The sequence below is a fragment of the Homo sapiens genome, chromosome 2, assembly GCF_000001405.40.
Source record: "Homo sapiens chromosome 2, GRCh38.p14 Primary Assembly".
Taxonomy (NCBI): domain Eukaryota; kingdom Metazoa; phylum Chordata; class Mammalia; order Primates; family Hominidae; genus Homo; species Homo sapiens.
Window position 1 is genome coordinate 189,687,448 of NC_000002.12, and position 20,191 is coordinate 189,707,638.

Sequence of the window (20,191 nt, forward strand, 5' to 3'; positions counted from 1 at the left end):
TCCGATTTCCTTTCTTTTGCATTTATACCCAGCAGTGGGATTGCTGTATCATACGGTAGCTATATTTTTAGTTTTTTGAGAAACCTCCAAACTGTTCTCCATAGTGGCTGTACTAGTTTACATTCCCACCAACAGTGTACTAGGGTTCCCTTTTCTCCACATCCTGCCAGCATTCATTTTTGCCTGTCATTTGGATAAAGGCCATTTTAACTGGGGTAAGATGATATCTTATTATAGTTTTGATTTGCATTTCTCTGATGATCAGAGATGTTGAACACCTTTTCGTATGCCTGTTTGACATGTGTATGTCTCCTTTTGAGAAAAGTCTATTCAGATCTTTTGCCTATTTTTAAATCAGATTAGAATTTTTTCCTGTAGAATTGTTTGACCTCCTTATATAGTCTGGTTATTAAGCCCTTGTTGGATAGATAGTTTGCAAATATTTTCTCCCATTCTGTGGGTTGTCTCTTCACTTTGTTGATTGTTTCCTTTGCTATGTAGAAGCTTTTTAAGTTGATGTGATCCCATTTGTCCATTTTTGCTTGGGTTGCAAAATGTGCTTGTGAGGTATTACTCAAGAAATCTTTGTCCAGACTGATATCCTGGAAAGTTTACCCAATTTTTTTTTAGTAGTTTCGTAGTTTGAGGTCTTAGATTTAAGTATTTAATCCATTTTGATTTGATGTTTGTATATGGTGAGAGATAGGGGTCTAGTTTTATTCTTCTATACATGGATATCCAGTTTTCCCAGTGCCATTTATTGAAGAGACTGTTCTTTCCCCAGCATATGTTCTTGGCACCTTTGTTGAAAATGAGTTCATTGTATAAGTATGGATTTGTTTCTGAGTTCTCTGACCTCCTTTGGTCTAGGCGTCTGTTTTTATGCCAGTACGATGCAGTTTGGGTGACTATCACTCTGCAATATACTTTGAAGTCAGGTAATGTAATTCCTCCAGTTTTGTTCTTTTTGCTCAGGATGACTGGCTATTCTGGATCTTTCGTGGTTTCATATATATATTTAGGATTATTTTTTCTATTTCTATGAAGAACAGTGACTGCTATTTTGATATGGATTGCAATGAATCTGTATATTTCTTATAAAGGGTTACAGTCTTCAAGCTGGCCATTCTGACAGGCATTTCGAGGAAGAGAGGAGCAAGACAGGAATTTAAGCTGAACTGTTTGGCCAAGTATACATATTCAGGTATAGATATGTAACAAGTTATAGGAAGAGCTACGAACATTCATGAAGTGGGTTCTAACATGCGTATTGAACAAACATGCACGTTACATATGATCCATGTTCACTTTGGGGTGGAGACTTAACATATAAATGCATTACAATTAGGCCCTTATTATACGTCAGAAAGTGAAGCAGGGACTTGAAGGCATTCACGTGTACAGCCTCTGTAAACAGGCCAGAACCACATCGTGGTCAGTAGTCTTATGAGGAGAAAGTTACTGAAATCAGTCTCTTGTCCAGTCAAAGCTCTAGTTAGGCGTAGGGGACAGGAAGATCAGTTATTCAGCATCTGTTGGTGAACGGGCCGTAATTCTTTTAAAATTGCTTATCTTGAGGACAGTGTTTGTTTAACTGTTAGAGAAAAAAGAAAAACCTTGTGGCAGTTAGAACACAGTTTATTCTTTAAGTAGAGGGGTTTGTGACTTCACCATTGCCTGGCATGGCCCTAGGTTTTCTTTATAGTTTGGTATCTTATTGCCACAAAGAGTCTGTTCTGTCAGTCTTATGATCTGTATTTTAACATTAATGCTGGTCAGTTATTGTGTCTAAACCACAAAAGGAAAGGGGTATAATGAGGTATGTCTGACCTCCCATCCCATCATGGCCAAGAACTTAGTTTTTAAGGTTTCTTTGGGGTCCCCTTGCCCAAAACGGGTCTGTTCAGTCAGTTGTAGGGAGTGCTTAGAATTATATATTTGGTTTACAGCATCTAATTTTTCCTTTACTGTCGTGATAGTAGGATTTCATGATAAAATCCTGTGTTCAATCTTCTGTATTTATCCAGAAGCCAAATATGAAATTTTCACTATCTAAAATTTTCCTTTTTTATCATGAAGGTTTGACTGATATTACAAAGGATCCAGACTTTAATGAAATCTATGATGAAGACGTGAATGAAGATCCAACATATGATCCCAACAGCCCTGAAGAAACAGCTGTATTTATGAAATATGCTGAAAATATTATGCTAAAGTTAACATTCAGTACCACACAAATTCAACAGTATGAAAATGTCTTTATATTTGAAACAGGCTATTGGCTTACTAATGCTATAAAATATAATCAGGATTATCTTGATATCTGTACCTACCAGAGACTACAGCAAAGATTATATCTTCAAAAAAAGATTATTCAAAAACACTTTGAGAAGAAAAAAGATATCAGAAGAGGGATAGGATACCTAAAGTTAATATGTTTTCTGATTCCATTTCTACTGAGTTTAAAGAAGAAAATGAAAGTTCCATATTTAAGTAGTCTGCTTCAGCCTTTTTCAGGTAAGAGTATCACCAAAAATCAAATATAAAATATAGGTATATATTAAATATATGTTTAAATGCAATTTTGTTTCTAGTATATGGGTGCAGGCAGTAACCTAGCTATAACCTGTTAGAGAAAACAAACAATTTAATGTCTCTAATGTAATTAAAAAGACTCAGTGTATGTATATAGTACTTTGTATATATTTATACCAATTATAAGGGCTACTGAAAGATTTAAAGTAAGTTAAAATAAGTTCTGTATGAATAGGGAAATATGCCATATCCATGATGGGAAAACACTGTGAATGTATCATATCTCATTCAAATTACTCTATAAATTCAGTGTACTTCTATTCAAAATCCTGATGATATTTTTCATTGAAGTATACACACTTACTCTAAAATTAATATAGAGCAGCAAGGGGTTAATAATGGTCTTTCATTTCTGAAAAATAGATGGAAACATATTAAAACTACAGTAATTAAATGAGGGCAGTATTGGCACTTTAATAAACAAATAGAGCAATGTAAGAGAATAGAGAACTGAAACAGGCCATGATTAATGGAATTTGATGGGACTTCAGTATAAACTCTTCATTCAACACTGATTAGCACACAATTTATACATTTTCATTGCTTTCCAAGCATGTAGGCTTATTATAATGGGCTTTCTATTCAGATGGCAAATTTTCAGCAGAAATTTTGCAAATCCTTTAGTGAAAGTTTGTATCATGAGAATTCAGGTGCTGTGTTTTAGTGAAAGTTTGTATCATGAGAATTCAGTATCTGTGAACTATTAGAAATGGAATTATGACAGGGCATGGCTCTTGGGTGGTGGGGAGCATGTATAGAAGTAGGAGGGACTTGCTTAAAGAGAACGTTAACTATATCTGCAATATCTTATTACTTAAACTATGGGAAGCAAATATGACTAACGTTAATAGTTAATTCTAGGTGTTGAGATCAGGGTGTATAGTGTATATTATTATTTGTACTTTTCTTTACCTTTTATATTTCTCAAAATACATTATGTCCCTTATGTTGATTAAACCATATTCTACTAACCAGTCAAAATATTGAAAAAACCTAGTCTTTGCTGGAATTTGAGAAAAGAAATTTTTTTTGAGGCAGAGTCTTGCTCTGTCACACAGGCTGGAGTGCAGTGGCACGATCTCGACTCACTGCAACCTCCACCTCCCGGGTTCAAGCGATTCTCCTGTCTCAGCCTCCCAAGTAGCTGGGATTACAGCCACCTGCCACCATGCCCAGCTAATTTTTCTGTTTTTAGTAGAGACAAGGTTTCACTATGTTGGCCAAGCTGGTCTCGGACTCCTGACCTCAGGTGATCCACCCGCCTCGGCCTCCCAGAGTGCTGGGATTACAGGCATGAGCCGCCGCGCCCGGGAGAGAAAATTATTTTTAAAAATAAGTTATCTGTGTAGTTTCATTACTTTCCAGAAATATGGGATGGTTATTTTTATATGTGAGATATACTCATCTGCTTCTTTATAATGTCTCCTTTTACCTAAACTAGCTGAGATAAGTTTTTGTATATTAAACAAAGATTCTCTTAGGCACAGAGTTTCTGGTCCTTTCTTATAATTGGGAGTAAGATACTAATCTTGAGCTCACTTACAATAAATCAAGAACTGGAACAATGTTTTGAGCATACTTTTGAAATGTCTGTACAATAAAACTACAGAAAGTGCTCAAAATATAAATATATTGTATATATACATACATATATATGTATATATTTGAGATATATATATATATAATATATAAACAGTAATTAACTGAGGGCAGTATTGGCACTGTAATATATGTATTTGAGACAGGGTGTCACTCTGTCACCCAGCCGGAGTGGAGTGGCATGATCTCAGCTCACTGCAGGTTTTACCTCCTGGGCTCAAGCGATACTCTCACCTCAGCCTCCCAAGTAACTGGGATTACATGCATGTGCCACCACATCCAGCTAGTTTTTGTGTTTTTAGTAGAGACGGGGTTTCACCATGTTGCCCAGACTGGTCTTGAACTTCTAGGCTCAAGCGATCCGCCCCCCTCAGCCTCTCAAAATGCTGGGATTATAGGCATGAGGCACTGTGCATGCTCAAAAATATATTTTAATGTTAAACTATTTATATACATTAACAGCATAAATAATTTTATGCACTATAATTGCCAAGATTTTAATTTCATCTGGAATTTTCTCACTTTGTTTACATGAATGAGAAGCTAGATCTCTTAAAATATGACTTTATGTGCTGTTCACTTTTTAAATAAAAATTTGTTTTCATTTTTGGAGATGACAAGGTCAAGACAGAGCGAGAATTGCCTCCATTTATTTATGGAAGAGATTTTAAATGCCAGAATTTTCACTACAAAGAGAATCAATATTTTCATGTTCATGGAGGAATTGAATTTGATATCAGCACCCCTTCAATTGAGAATGCCTTGGAAGATTTTCAGGTTTAAATGATCATTCCTTAGACAATTTATCATTTCACAACTCTTTTATCCTATTCTCCAACCAAAAAGAGCCTCTGTTGGTACAGGCACTCGACAGCTCTCCAAATGATTATTCTCACAACTCAATAATTTTTTCATACATTATTTTAACATCAATGAATTAAGTGCAGATATATGTAAGGTACTGTGTTGGATATCTGAGATAAAATTATAAATAAGCTAGGTACATCTATCACCCTCACAGAATTTAAAGACTTCTAATGGACTATATTTGTCCCAGAACAGGTAACCAAAGAGTGCAGTAGAAATCTCTGGACACTCAGTACACATTCTTCCATTTTCCTCAAAGAATCAGGATTAGAACAGAGATCCTTTAAAATTTTGGAACAGTAATTCTTCACCTGGAATTTAGTATAAAAATTCTACATTTCAATTGTTATTGCTTTTCTACCTTCTGTATACTATGTGTCTTTCCTTTTGTATTTTTTCCTCATTCTCAAAGTAAGGATTAGATATATTCAGCTGCTATCCGGGTCTTCTGGAATAGTAAATTTAAAATTTGTCATTTACATGTATACTCTTTCATACAAAGAATTCTTATAATTGTTTAGATGTGTCTAAGGATATGTCTTTAGTAACATAACTCATATTTTAGAAAAATTTAGAAAAAATACGAGATTGTGCTGCTAATACATTTATAGAAGATTCAGGATATAAAGAATATTACTCAATACCAGTCATGGAATTTCATGGAAAAAGGTACGGAGCTTTCACTAATTACTGACATTAACTACAATTTTTTGCACGTTAGTAGAGAACAAAGAAAATGACAAAATGCAAAGGTTAATGTAAACCTTTACAATGGCGATTCCACAATAATAACCACCATGAATGACTTATGGACTCAACAAAATATTAAATGTTATAGTTATTACTTCATGTATTTGATATAGTCTGTGTAACAATCCTTAGAGCTTGTAATTAGTTCTTATAATTAACAGAGTGGTTAAATAGGGGTAGAGATGGGGATCAAATCCCAGCCTATTTGTCTTTTATGTGTTGTGGTTCTTGGATTTTTAAATATTGGACACTGAAATTTGGAAATATGGGAAGTAGAGCTCAGAGGAAACATTTTAATTAGAGGCAAAGATTTAAAAACAAATAAGGAAGTTTTGCTTGTTGGTTCGTTTGTTTGCTTTTAAGGCATGCAAGCAGTTGGGAGGATAGGACCAAGTCTGGAACTTTGGAGAATAGTAACTGAGGTGGGAGGATTGCTTGAGCCTAGGAGTTCGAGACCAGACTGGGCACCAGAGTAAGACCCTATCTTTGTTTTTGTTTGTTTGTTTATGAGACAGAGTCTTGCTCTGTCACCCAGGCTGGAGTGCAGTGGTGCAATCTTGGCTCACTGCAACCTACACCTCCTAGGTTCAAGTGATTCCCCTGCCTCAGCCTCCTGAGTAGCTAGGATTACAGGCATGCGCCACCATGCCTGGCTAATTTTTGTATTTTTAGTAGAGAAGAGGTTTTGCCATGTTGGTCAGGCTGGTCTCGAACTCCTGACCTCAAGTGATCTGCCCACGTCAGCCTCCCAAAGTGCTGGGATTACGGGCATGAGCCACCATGCCTGTCCATAAGACCCTATCTCTACAAAAAATTTAAAAGCTAGCCAGGCTAGGTGGCACATGCCTGTAGTCACACCTACCCAGGAGGCTGAGGTGGGAGGATCACTTGAGCCTGAGAGGTCGAGGCTGAAGTGACCCGTGATTGCGCCACTGCACTCCAGCCTTGGCAACAGAGTAAGACCTTGTCTCAAGAAAAAAGAATACTGTATTTACAGCAATAAATAGTTGCATTTGGAGGAGAAACCCAGGTAATATTAAGAGGTGTCCCACTGACAGAGGTAGGTCAGCAGCTGAAGTATTCACCGCTGAAATCCGGGCATGGGAAGGGTACCTCATGGGGGGAAGGGGAGGAAGGTCGCCGTTTTCCCTCACCTGTGATGATAAGCAAACCCAGGGAACAGAGTTACTCAAAATTTTATCAATTTTCCATTCCAGAATGATAGGGATCAGGGCTGTTTCAAGCCCCACCTATGTTCCAGGGACCTGGTAGGAGGGGGGTTTCTCTAGTCCACTGCTGCAGTGAGTAAAAGCCAAGGAGCCATTGCCCAAAGCATCATTCCATATTACATTCAAGGTAAACTCTCGAGGAGCCAGATATAGACATAATTAGCTTAAAAGAATAAGAGGTAGGTAAGCAGACAGTTAGATGACATAGAACTTCAGCCAGAGTTAGGCCTTCCAGGAGCTTTTAGACATTGCCCCAGATCACTGACATGGAAAGGACAGAGTCAATACAATATGAAGAAGGTATTTTTATATAAAGACTTGATTAATAACAGTTGATAACTATCTTATTAATATACTTACAGTTGACTACAATTTAAACTACCATTTTGTATTTAATTGTTACAGAAAAATAAAAGTTTTGCCAGCATAGAAAGAGAAGTAGCAAATCACTTCAAAGTTAGAGAAACATCTTTTTTTTCTTTATTTTTTATAGCTACTATGTGATCTATTTTGAACTAGAAACTTTCTATCAGCAACTATATAAGACACAGTGGTGGGGAGCCATAAATGAAATAGTGAACAATCTGAGACTGAAAAGACTTCCACTGACAGATGCTCAATTACATGAACAATTTAAGAAAAAGCTTGGTTTCAAAAGAGCTATGAAATGCAAGGTATTTCAGTGACTACCACATAATTTAGTATATGAAGTTATGTATTATTGATAAGTATGTGTCTCAAACAGATGTTTATCCTAGGGATAATAATAGGTTAAAGTCTTCAACATGAAATAAAATGCCACATTTTAGTAGCTGAAAGGCTATACAATTCTGGATTATAAATTTCTGGCAGAGTACCTGTTAATGCACTGGATTGTGATTAATCTCAATAACGGCTTATACGTATTGATTGCTTATTTTGTATGTTAGGCAATATTATAAATCAATGAACTCTTTTAAGGTACGACTAGTTCTATTATTATCATTCCTGTTATACAAATGAGAAATTTGAGGTGTAGAGAGGGATCTTTCACAAATCATATAGTAAATGGCAGAGCCAGGCTTCAGTCCTGGGAACTAAAACCTAAAGAGCAGACCTAGCATCATCAAATCTCCACATCTGTTTCAACAAGCCTTGAAGTACAGCTTCTGGAACTGAGCAAAGAAGCTCACCAGCTTCAAAGGTTAGACTGGTATTTACTTTCCATTTATTTGTTTTCACGTCCACAAATTAAAACCTCAAAAATTTGTTAGTTGAATTTTTAAATATTAGTCAGAATGTCTAAAGAGGGTGACATTTTTACCTTTGGATGACAAACTGTATTTCTACAGCTATATATTTCAAATTTCTAGACTTCTGAATTAGGTTTTTCTTAAATCAGAGAAGGAACCCAATGATCTCCATTTGCTTTTAAAATATTTTAGAAAAAAATTAATAATAAAAAATTCCCCAAAATATTTTTTAAATTCTTAATATTTGCTTATAGCTCTAACTACTTTAATCATTATCCAGTAAGAAACTTTCCATGCATGGATCTTGTGAAAATTCTACTTAATTTTAACAGCATTCATGTGATTCTGTTAATACACTTCATGTATTTTTTTCCTTAAACCAAACTTTAGGTGCATTTTGATAAACTGATTCTGGCCTTCTTAATTTTAGAGTATTCCATTTGGTATGAAGTCCGCTGTTGAAAGAGGGTTGTCTGCAGTTTTCCACACATTTAGCCGTAAAACCTCAAGCTCAACAATCAATGTTTCAGATGAAGCAGGTTATACTATTTTTCATCATGCTGCCCTGCACAACAGAGTTTCTATTATATGTCAACTGTGCAATGCTAACTTCAAGGTCAACCAGAGGCGCTTTGTTACGTTCAGCCAAGGTACCATAAAGTTTTTTAACCTAAAATGTTGTTATTTTATTTACCCTTACTCAGCATTAGGAATGCACGTTGATTTTAGAGCAGGTTAAAATTTGGTATTAACTAGAGCAAAGTTGAGGTTTTTGTTTCATTTATCTAAGAAAGGCTTCTTTTAGTTTTCTAAGTATCACTTATAGCTAGCTTATATGGTTTTATATTTGCTCATTGTGTCTCCTTCATTTGAGTATAAGCTCTATAAGAGGGCAAAGATTTAGCCTACTTTATTTGCCGTGGTATACTAATGTCCAGATGAAAGTGTGGCTTAATGGTTGCTCAGAAAATATTTGTTGAGTTAATGCATGGATGGGTGAAGGCAGGATATCATTTGATAAGCACTGGCAAAATTAATATACACTGATATACTATAGAAATTCAGAGAACAGCAATAGATATGACTGTCAGGTCCCAGTAGAACAATCATTCTTTATTCCAGGATCCTCAAACAGGGAATAGTTTCTTTATATTACATATATTTAAATTACATTTAATAACAAAAAATTTCTTTATCATAATAATGTTTAGCATTAATAGCCCCTTTAAGGTTAACCTCATTTAAACTTTAAAAGCTATTTTTGTGATTATTAAATATGCATGGATATTTTATAATCATTGAAATAAATTTAGCTAGAATAAAAACAGAGTTGAAAATGAAATTGGTGGCCCTCCATAACTGGAAAGGAAAATATAGATAAATTGTCAGGGGCAGGTGTAGTGGCTCACTACTGTCTTGCCAACACTTTGGGAGGCTGAGGCTGGAGGATCACTTTAGACTAGGAGTTCAAGATGAGCCCGGGCAGCATAACGAGACCCCCTGCCCATAAAATTAAAAAAAAAAAAAACTTAGCCAGGCTTGGTGGTACACGCCTGTAGTCCTAGCTACTCTGAGAGGCTGAAGCAGGAAGATTGCTTGAGCCCAGGAGTTTGAGGTTACACATATATATGTACATATATATGTAAATTGTCAGGAATGGCCAATGCAACAATATTGGCAATAAGAAGTGGTGATTTTATATTTAATGAAGTCAGCTATCTTAATAAGCTATGTTAAATTTTTACAGACGCCAAAACAAAATGTTTTGCTTTAACCGTATTGAATATCCATAAATTCTGTACTCTATCAGTATGATTAAAATGTTTTGATATTCAGATTCTTCTGTTACTGAAAATATTCAATACATAATACATAATGAACCTAATTAAAATAAGACACAATTCAATCACATTTAAATGCAATAGGTAACACTATTTAAAGATGTATTACTTTAAGCCTTTTTTAGTGTGGAAAAAGTCTTTGATAAATTAAAAGTTTCTCATGCGCCCTCTGACTGCTTGAGTTTCCATTTGCTGAGAATTAGGTAGATTTTGAAGTGTGGAAAACATAGTACTCTACTTCCAATATTATTGCTTAACCAACACAAAATTGTCCCACCTGTGAGTTTTAAGCAGCCATTTGGGGGGCAGAGTTTCCAGGTCTGCTTTTAATGCGTTGTCAGGTTGCATATGACATGCCTGGATGACTTGACCAAAAGTTATTCTCAACACTGTTCGATGTAATCTTGCCAGATACATCTACATAGTCATTTTGTTCTTATTCATATGAGTCTTCTTGAACAACTTAGGAAACTGCTGTATATTAATGATCATACTTCTATGTGCATTCCCTTTTAAAACAGAGTCATCCAAAGTAGAGGTAAAAAAGGAAAGAAATGGTAAGACATAAATAAAGTATTTGGTGCATTTAAAAAGGCTATTGCATATATTAGAACTTTTCTTATAGTATATAATCTCTAAAATACTGTTGCATCAGAATGTTGCATAATGATGTTTTGTATTCATTTTGAAGCATAAATTACTTTCTACTCATAGTTATTTATTGGTATTCCTCTTCAGTTTGGGGAGTTTTCTCTTTTTTTCCTGTGGAATTTGCTGTCACCTTTATTTTTTATAAATTCAGGCCCACAAGTGGTTTCTACAACTTAAAAAAAAAAAAGTTATTATAATATAAATTAGATAGGCTGCCATCTAGTGGCAGTAACAATCTGTGAGGTCTGAGGAATGAGTCGTTTTTGACTGAGGTAGTAGACTTAACCTCAATGTTGGATATGGAGAAAAACAAAATGTTAAGAGGTTATACTTTCTTTGTCTATATTTAAGAGGCTATACCTTCATACTCTGTATAAGAGAATTCAGAAAGGCTTTTGTTTTAAAGAAATTACGTACAACGAACTGAATTGTCAAGGGGGAGGGGATAGTTACTCAAATTGGCCATCTTCCGTTAGAGGAGGAGCACAGCAAACCTGAGATGACCTCAGAGAGGGAGCCCGACCTCATTCTTCCTCCTCCAATCTCCTGCCAGAGCTATCCATTGGCAGATACTGACAAGGAGCCAGAGGACACAGGTTGCTTTTTCTGCAGGTGCAGGAGAGCCAGGGTGGTAAAGGAGGTGAGTGGAACTGGAGCGGGAAAAAAGGAAGCTTACCTGTCCCATCCGCCCTGTAGAAATTTCCAGTTGAGTAACAATAGTGTGCCTCCTACATTATTGCTCTCTCTTTTTCTTTTCTAAGTATCACTTATGGCTACCTTATATAAATTTATTTAGTTAGTTAGTCTCCCTCACTTGAATATAAAGCTCCATAAAGGACAAGGATTTGGTCTGTTTTGTTAGCCACAGTTTCCTAACACCCAGAAAAACGCTTGGCCTTCATAGGTGCTCAGGAAATTTTTCTTGAGGGGTGTACATTTTATTGGAAACCTTAAATACTCTTCAAACAGAACATGTCTTCAATTAAGGCTCTAAGGTATTCTACACAGAAAACCAAAGTTTTTCAGATTAGAGGCAAGGAGAGGGACAGTATAGAGGACAAGTGCTTAGTTTGCCACAAGGACCCCTCATGATTAATGCTCCTCAGCCAGCTTATCAGCTTCCTTCTCCTTTTTAGGGTTTTTTCTCCTATCTTAGCATATTCATTATATTTCTTTTTACATTTTTATTAGTGATTGCCCTAGAGTTTACCACATTCATTTACAATTATTCCAAGTCTACTTTCAGATAACACTAAGCCACTTCACCTGTAGTGTAAGTACCTTATAATAACAACATATTCCTAAGTCTTCCCACCTATCATTCATTTACTCATTTCACTTGTGCATAAGCATATATATGTCATTCATTTCATAAATGTCATTCATTTCACTTATGCATAAGCACATATAAGTATCTATATATTCAAACCCTTTGTTGATAATGTTATTATTTATTTACTTATTTTGAGATGGAATCTTGCTCTGCTGCCGAGGCTGGAGTGCAGTGGTGAGATTTTGGCTCACTGCAACTTCCGCCTCCCGGCCCCTGGGTTCAAGCGATTCTCCCACCTCAGCCTCCCATGTAGCTGGGATTACAGATGTGCACCACTACACCGTATATGTTTTGTATTTTTAGTAGAGACAGGGTTTCACCATGTTGGCCAGGCTGGTCTCGAACTCCTAACCTCAAGTGATCCACCCACCTCGGCCTCCCAAAGTGCTGAGATTACAGGCGTGAGCCACTGCACCGGGCCTGATAATGTTATTTTGAACAAACTGTTCTCTGTTAGCTCAATTAAGACAAAGAAACATTTTACTTGACCTTCATTTTTTTTTTTTTATTCTCTGATGCTCGTCCTTCCTTTATGTTATGTAAGTTTCTAACCTATATCATTTTTCTTCTCTTTGGACAACTTCTTTTAACATGCCTTGCAGGGCAGGTCTACTGGTGGCAAACTCCCTCAATTTTTGTTTGAGAAAGTCTTTATTCCTCATTCACTTTTGAAGGATAATCTTACAGGTTACAGAATTCTAGATTAGTGGTTCCATTATCTCAACACTTTATTTTCCTCCGCACACTTCCTGCTTGCATAGTTTCTGAGGAGAACTTGGGTATAATTCTTATTTTTGCTTCTCTATTAGTAATGTGTTTTCCTCTGGCTTCTTTTAGGATTGTTTTCTTTTTAAAATAATTTTTAATTTCTGTGTGTACATAGTAGGCATATATACTTGGAGTACATGAGATTTTTTGATACAGGCATGCAATGCATAATAATCACATCAGAGTAGAGTATCCATCACCTCAAGCATTTATCCTTTATTTGTGTTACATATAATCCAGTTATACTCTTTTAGTTATGTTAAAATATACAATTAATTTTTTTTACTATAGTCACCTTGTTGCGCTAGCAAATACTAGGTCTTATCTATTCTTTCTATTTTGTACCCATTAACTATCCCCACTTCCCCCCACTACCCTTCCCAGCCTCTGGTAACCATCATTATACTCTGTATCTCCATGAGTTCAATTGTTTTAATTTTTAGCTCCCACAAATAAGTGAGAACAGGCAAAGTTTGTCTTTCTTTGCCTGACTTATTTCACTTAACATAATGACCTCCAATTCCATCCATGTTGTTGCAAATGATAGGATCTCATTCTTTTTCATGGCTGAATACTACTCCATTGTGTATCCATCTGAATGGATAAATTTTCTCTATCCACTCATCTATTGATGGACACTTAGGTTGCTTCCAAATCTTTGTTATTGTGAATAGTGCTGCAGTAAATAGGATTATTTTCTTTATCTTTGTTTTTCTGTAATTTGAAAACGATATGCCTCGGTGTAGTTTTTTGTTTGCTTTGACATTTATTTGGCTTGGTGTTCTCTGAGCTTACCAAATCTGTGGTTTGATATGTCACATTAATGTGGAAAAATTATCAATCATTATTGTTTTAAATATTTCTTCTTTTCCTTTCTCTCTTTCTTCTCTTTCTGTTCTTTTTTCCCCCTAGACTTTTTAATTTATTTTTATTTTTATTTTTGAGACAGGGTATTTATTGCCCAGGCTGGAGTGCAGTGGCATGATCTTAGCTTACTCCAGCTTCTACCTCCTGCACTCAAGTGACCCTCTCACCTCAGCCTCCCTAGTAGCTGGGACTACAGGCCCATGCCACCATGGCTGGCTAATTTTGTTTATTTTTTTGTAGAGATGAGGTCTCACTATGTTGCCCAGGCTGGTTTCAGACTCTTGGGCTCAAGGAATCCTCCCACCTTGGCTTCCCAAAGTGCTGGAATTACAGGAGTGAGCCACTGTGCCTTGGCCTGGAGGTTTCTACTGATATATCTTCAGGATTAGAGATTTCTTCCTCTGCTGCGTCTAATCTCTTTATAAGCTCATTAATGGCATTCTTCATTTCTTTTACAGTGTTTTTTATCTGTAGCATGTCATTTTGGTTCTTTCTTAGGATTTCCATCTCTCTGTTTATATTGCCCATCTGTTCTTGCAGGCTACTTTATCCATTAGAACCCTTAGCATATTAATCATAGTTTTAAATTCCCTGTCTGATCATTCCAACATCCCTGCCATGTCTGGTTCCGATGCTTGCTCTGTCTCTTTAAACTGTGTTTTTTGCTTTTTAAATATGCCTTCTAAATTTTTCTTGATAGCTGAACTTGATGTATTGGGTAAAAGAAACTATATTAAATAGGCCTTTAATAATGTGATGGTAAGGTATGGGGGGAGAAGCATTCTATCATCCTATGATTATATCTCAGTCTCTTGGTGAGCCTGCGTCCCTGTACTTTGAACTTCACCAGTGCTTCTCAGTCCTCTCCCCCTGTCCCTTAGGCCAGCCAGGATGGTTAGAGGGGACTGGAGTTGGGCATTTCCCTTGCCTAGGTAGGTTAGGTTCTGATAAAACCCCAGCAGGTTAGGGTCTGATAAAAGCCCAATAGGTTAGGCTCTGGTAAAGTAGTTTCTCTTGAGAGCAGGTCTTGTTAAGAACAGAATGCCCTGGAGTATTTCAAAATGGTTCCTTTTCTCCCTCCCCCTGCTGGAAGTATGAGGGGATTTTTCTTCAATATTCACTGTGAGGACTTGATAAAACTCCTAGAGGTAAAACACATGAAAGCATGGGGCCCCACTATGATGGATCCTTCTAGAGTTTTTAACTCTCATACTTGTCCACATTGAGCTTCTAGCAATTGTGAATTAATGTTAAGGTTTTCTTACTCCAGTAATGATTCCTTAGGAAGTTCCTGCTTGTGAGTTTCTGCTCTACTGAGTTATGATTCTCTGAATCCATTTGTCTCTCCAATTTTGAGGGTATCAGTTTGCCCATTACCTCACTTCTCTGACAAACTTAAGGGCTGTTGATTTCTTTAGGGTTGGTTCAGCTTTTTACTTGTTGTTAGGATGAAATGGTAACTTCTAAGCTCCTTAAATGCCGGACCAGAAACTGGAAGACTAAACAATAATTTTAAATAAATAGATTTGGGTCAGATTTTATAGACTATTAAGGCTATAATATCAAGCTCCCACTATGAAGGCAGGTAGGAGGACACTGGAAGTTTCTGATGGGAGAGATGTAATGAAAACAGTGGTTCACTGAGGAAATATCTTTTAAACTGAGAAATGATTAGGAGTTAGCTAGATCGGTAAGGGAGGAATTGTTTGGGAGAAGGAAGGTGTCAGAGAGCAGGAATAGTCCAGGGTGGACAGATAATTCATCATTCAAATCAAGGAGACTTGAAAGTGAAAGTGCACTATTAATAATTATGCTAGTGCAACAGACATTGACCAGTACTTTCCTGGGTAACCTGGGGCGTGTGATTATGCTACATTTGGGGAGCTACAAGAAAGCCAGAATGAGGAGAACAAGGTATGAATGGTTTTATTGGGAGGTAGATGAAGAAGGTAGTTGTAGCTGGTGCTTCAAGTTAAGTTGGAGCCAGTGGATCCTGTCACTGTTCCTCATAATCAGATGGCCTTGAGAAGCCATTGAACAAGGAGATGAAAAGATCAGATTTATGTTTTGAAAAACTGGGTTGGATAAGGGCAAAACAAGATGGGGATAGCAGTTGGGAGATGATTATGGCTTGGATTAGGATGGTGGTGGTGGTAGAGATGGGTTCTAGAGATTTTTAGACTTGGTGATGGGCTGGTTATGGAGAAGGAAATAAGAGGGAGGTGCCAAAGAGTCTTCCAGATTTGTGGTCTGTACAACTGGCTGGATCATCATATCTCTCACTGATTTAGGAAGCAATAAAAGAGAACCAGGTTTGGAGGGAAGGATAGTAGTTCAATTTTGAATACATTAAGTTTGAGGGGATGTGTGAAGATGCTTTACAAGATGTCAAAGATATAGATCTGCAAATCAGAAGAAATCAGATCTAGAGACATAATCCTTGGAGTCATCAAGTTGTATATGGTAAGCAAAGCCACTAAGAAGAGAAAAAGGCCCAAGATTGAGCCTTAAAGTTCATTTGGATATTAGGACAATGAGAAGGTTCCAAAGGAGACTGCCAAGGTGTAACCAGTAGGGTTGGACAAAAATTGGGAGTGTGATATCACAAAAGCCAAGGGAAGAAATTATTTTAAATAGGAAGAAGTGGTCAATGGTGTAAAATACTACTGAGAAATAAGTAAGATGAGAATTGAAAAATGACAGTTGGACTTTAGTGAGAATTCACTCACTATCATGAGAACAGCATAGGGGAACTGCCCTCATGATCCAGTTACCTCTCTCCCTCAACACTTGGGGATTACAATTCGAGATGAGATTTGGGTGGGGACACAGAGCCAAACCATATCAGGTAGTAAAGGTATGAATTGCTATTATGCTTTGGGAGAATAATTTGGCAATATATATTACCAGTAATAATGATGCTGTTGATAATTATACAGTTTTACCCAGTAACTCTCATTATTGGGAATTTTTTTTTTTTGAGATGGAGTCTCGCTCTATTGCCCAGGCTGGAGTGCAGTGGCATGATCTCTGCTCACTACAACCTCCGCCTCCCAGGCTCAAGCGATTCTCCTGCCTCAGCCTTCCAAATAGTTAGGACTACAGGCACGCACCACCATGACCAGTTAAATTTTTTTTGTATTTTTAGTAGACCCCAGTTTCACCATGTTGGCCAGGCTGGTCTCAAACTCGTGACCTCAGGTGATCCACCCACCTCAGCTTCCCAAAGTGCTGGGATTACAGGCATGAGCCACTGCGCCCAGCCCATTTTTGGGACTCTACCCACATAATAAATATCTATATACAATGGAAAAAATAAAAGAAAAATGCCCATTGGATTTAGTGACATTGAGGCCTTTGTTAACATATATATATATATATATATATATATATATATATATATATATATATATATATAATTTTAATTTCAAAGGATCTTATCTTCAACTAAAAAACATGAGTAAAATGGAAAATAAACAAGAAATAGTTTACCATAAGACTATTTTACACATTGACTTAAATTTTCAAATACTTAACATTTTATTTTATTTTTTTAAATATTTAATATTTTAAATGTTACTCATTTTTCTTTGCTTATAAAAAAATATGGATTTTTAAAAATTTTTGTTTTTTGTTTCCAAGTATGGATTTTTAGTGGTTGGGATTTTTAATCCTGAGTTAAATAAAGGAATATAGGGTTGTCTAAATTTTTTTTTAATGCTTACTTTGGAGATTTTATATCATACAATACTAAGCTCTGTGGCTGGATATCAATAAGGCATTTAGGTTTTTTTTAGGAATGGTAGTGCTGTGATCACTGAAGTAATTGTCCATCCATTCTAGGTCCAACACCTCTACACCTTGCTGCACAGGCTTGCTCATTAGAAACAACAGTTTGTCTACTGTGTTCCAAAGCTGATTACACGCTTTCTGAAAAAAGAGGCTGGATGCCGATTCACTTTGCCGCTTTCTATGACAACGTTTGCATCATTATTGCTCTCTGTAGGAAGGATCCTAGTTTGCTAGAAGCTGAGGCAACAGCTGAGTAAGTCATTAAGCATTTATATCAGGTTGAGGTTGATGTCTAGGCAATAATAAAAAAAAAAGAAGAAAGAAAATTAAATAGAATATAAATTTCTGCTTTTCATGGCTTGCCACACACACTGCCACTAAAAGGTGATAGGTGTGGGTGATCTGAAAGGTATGTAAGGCTTACTCTGCTATCCTTTCTACTCACTGTCTCGTCCTAACCACTTATCATTAGAATTTATAAAGGCGAGAGCTTCTATTAACCTATGCATGTTTTCTGGAAGAATAAGGACTAATCCCCAGGGAGTTTTTCCTAACCTTGTTCCAGTAGTATGGTTCTGCAGATTAACTTTTCATGTTAAATGCTTTGCTTAGTGCCCTGGAAGAAGCCTGAGACTAGGGAGGAGAGGGTTGCTCCAAACTGGATCCTACACAACCAGGAGGCAGCCCTAGGACTTCAGATCAAAGCGGATGGACTTTGGATTACAGGAGAAATATTTAGTGGTATCTGGAAAAGAAATACATTAAAAAGAATAAAATAACTTTGAAATTAAAAAATCCCAACAATCTTTTGTTTCACATTTTAGCTGCGGATCAGTATTTAGGGTAAAGGTGTAACTTCTCCTGAAGGTACATCCTTGGCTAGAAATCTAAAGGCCAGGTCATTACTTTGGATCTCTGAACCTGATTTAGGCATAGTTTCATTCAAGTTTTTCTAGGTCTTTGAGTAACCTTTCCACTATTATTCAGTGGTCTAGGGCTAGTATAATGATGGCTTGACAGTATGAGGGACACCAGCTTCCTCTTGTTGCTCTTAACATGTGGAAGCCACCAGAGGAAGCTGGTGTCCCTCAGATGGCAACTCCTGCTTTCACCATCATGTCTAGCCATGAGAAGAAAGAAGAGGCCAGGTGCGGTGGCTCAAACCTGTAATTCCAGCACTTTGGGAGGCCAAGGCAGGCAGATCACTTGAGGTCAGGAGTTCGAGACCAGCCTGGGCAAAACCCCGTCTCTACTAAAAATACAAAAATTAACGGGTATGGTGGTCCATGCCTGTAATACTAGCTACTCAAGAGGCTGAGGCATGAGAATCACTTGAACCGAGAGGCAGAGCCTGCAATGAGCTGAGGTCACACCACTGCACTACAGCCTGGGTGACAGAGTGAGACTCCATCTCAACAACAACAACAACAACAACAACAACAAAAGAAGCTGGGAAATGTAATATTGCACTGGATAGCCAAACAAAATATCTTTACTATCTAAAAATCAGATAATGGGTTTTCGAGCAAAACTGTTAGTTTCTGCCACAATGAGGAAGCTGGGATTTGAAAACTGGACATGAAGTAATGGGTGTAATTAATTCCTGAGCCTCAGTTACATGATTTGCAAAATGGCTGATGATATTTGCCTTGCTTTTTCCTTCACTTACGGAGTAGTTGTAAGGCTTAGATAGGATAGTGTATTGTAAGAACTTTGTGCGTTATCATCCTCCAAACAAATTATAAGGCATGATAATTAAGTTGGGGAGGTGGGTAGGGTCCCATAGTAAGGATGGCATGGCAAAGGAGGCAAATCCATTTACATGTAGAATACGGAAGATGAGAATTCCTAAGAATAGAAGGTGGTGGTGTAAGTCAGACTACCTCCAATTGCAGCTTGAATAGTTTTACAAAAAGTAAATTTGACACTCTATGCGTGTTTAATTGTTATGTTTCTTAATTTTTAGGAATCAGTGCACTCCACTGTTACTTGCTGCCACTTCAGGAGCACTGGACACTATTCAATACCTGTTTTCTATCGGTGCTAACTGGAGAAAAACAGATATTAAAGGAAATAATATAATCCATTTATCAGTGTTAACCTTTCATACAGAGGTTCTCAAATATATAATAAAATTAAATATTCCTGAACTCCCAGTGTGGAAAACTTTGGTAGGTGAGTATAATCTCTTTATAAATACATGTTCTGATTATTATTCAGTTTAGTTATTGATACTCTGAAAGAGAGAAAATAAAATAATACATGCATTATATTTTAAATATTTAAAAATCATGAAATAAACATTTTATTAAGACCAGAAATAAAAATATGAATAATAAAGAGCTGCATTTTTGTGTGTGCAAACGTAGTTTTATTTCCATGTTAAAATCAAAGATCTGTGACCCAGACTATATTTTACACAATTATATTTATTTTTATTTTCCAACTTTCTCCAGAAGTTCAAACATCCTCTCCTTCATCAAAAAAAAAAAAAAAAAAAAAAAGGAAAGAGGAAATTTTAAGTGAAAAATATTCCCTCCAACTTATTCCTTGCCTCCTAATTTTAGAGACAAATTTAGCAAAATCTTTTGTTATATTTTGATGAATGTTTTGTGAAGAATTCTGCTGGAGATTTTATTTTCTTTCTTTTTTTTTTTTTTCAAATTT

At 36.5% G+C, this 20,191-nt stretch overlaps 1 protein-coding gene across 24 annotated transcripts in view; it reads left to right on the top strand.

The window, feature by feature from the left end:
• The window catches only part of ANKAR (ankyrin and armadillo repeat containing), an 88,390-nt gene that overhangs the window by 12,778 nt on the left and 55,421 nt on the right, over positions 1–20,191 (top strand). For 22 of the 24 annotated variants that reach the window (XR_922865.3, XR_001738640.2, XM_011510676.3 and 19 more), the window contains exons 3-9: positions 2,080–2,517; positions 4,808–4,971; positions 5,627–5,730; positions 7,534–7,714; positions 8,703–8,922; positions 17,576–17,777; positions 19,491–19,699. Coding sequence is in view for 22 of the 24 variants with exons in the window: in XM_011510676.3 (XP_011508978.1) it covers positions 2,080–2,517; positions 4,808–4,971; positions 5,627–5,730; positions 7,534–7,714; positions 8,703–8,922; positions 17,576–17,777; positions 19,491–19,699 (1,518 nt within the window). In the remaining 2 variants the exon portion in view is untranslated. Of the gene's footprint in view, positions 1–2,079; positions 2,518–4,807; positions 4,972–5,626; positions 5,731–7,533; positions 7,715–8,702; positions 8,923–17,575; positions 17,778–19,490; positions 19,700–20,191 lie in introns of those variants that run through there. The other 2 variants (XM_047443455.1, XM_047443456.1) reach the window with 2 other exon arrangements.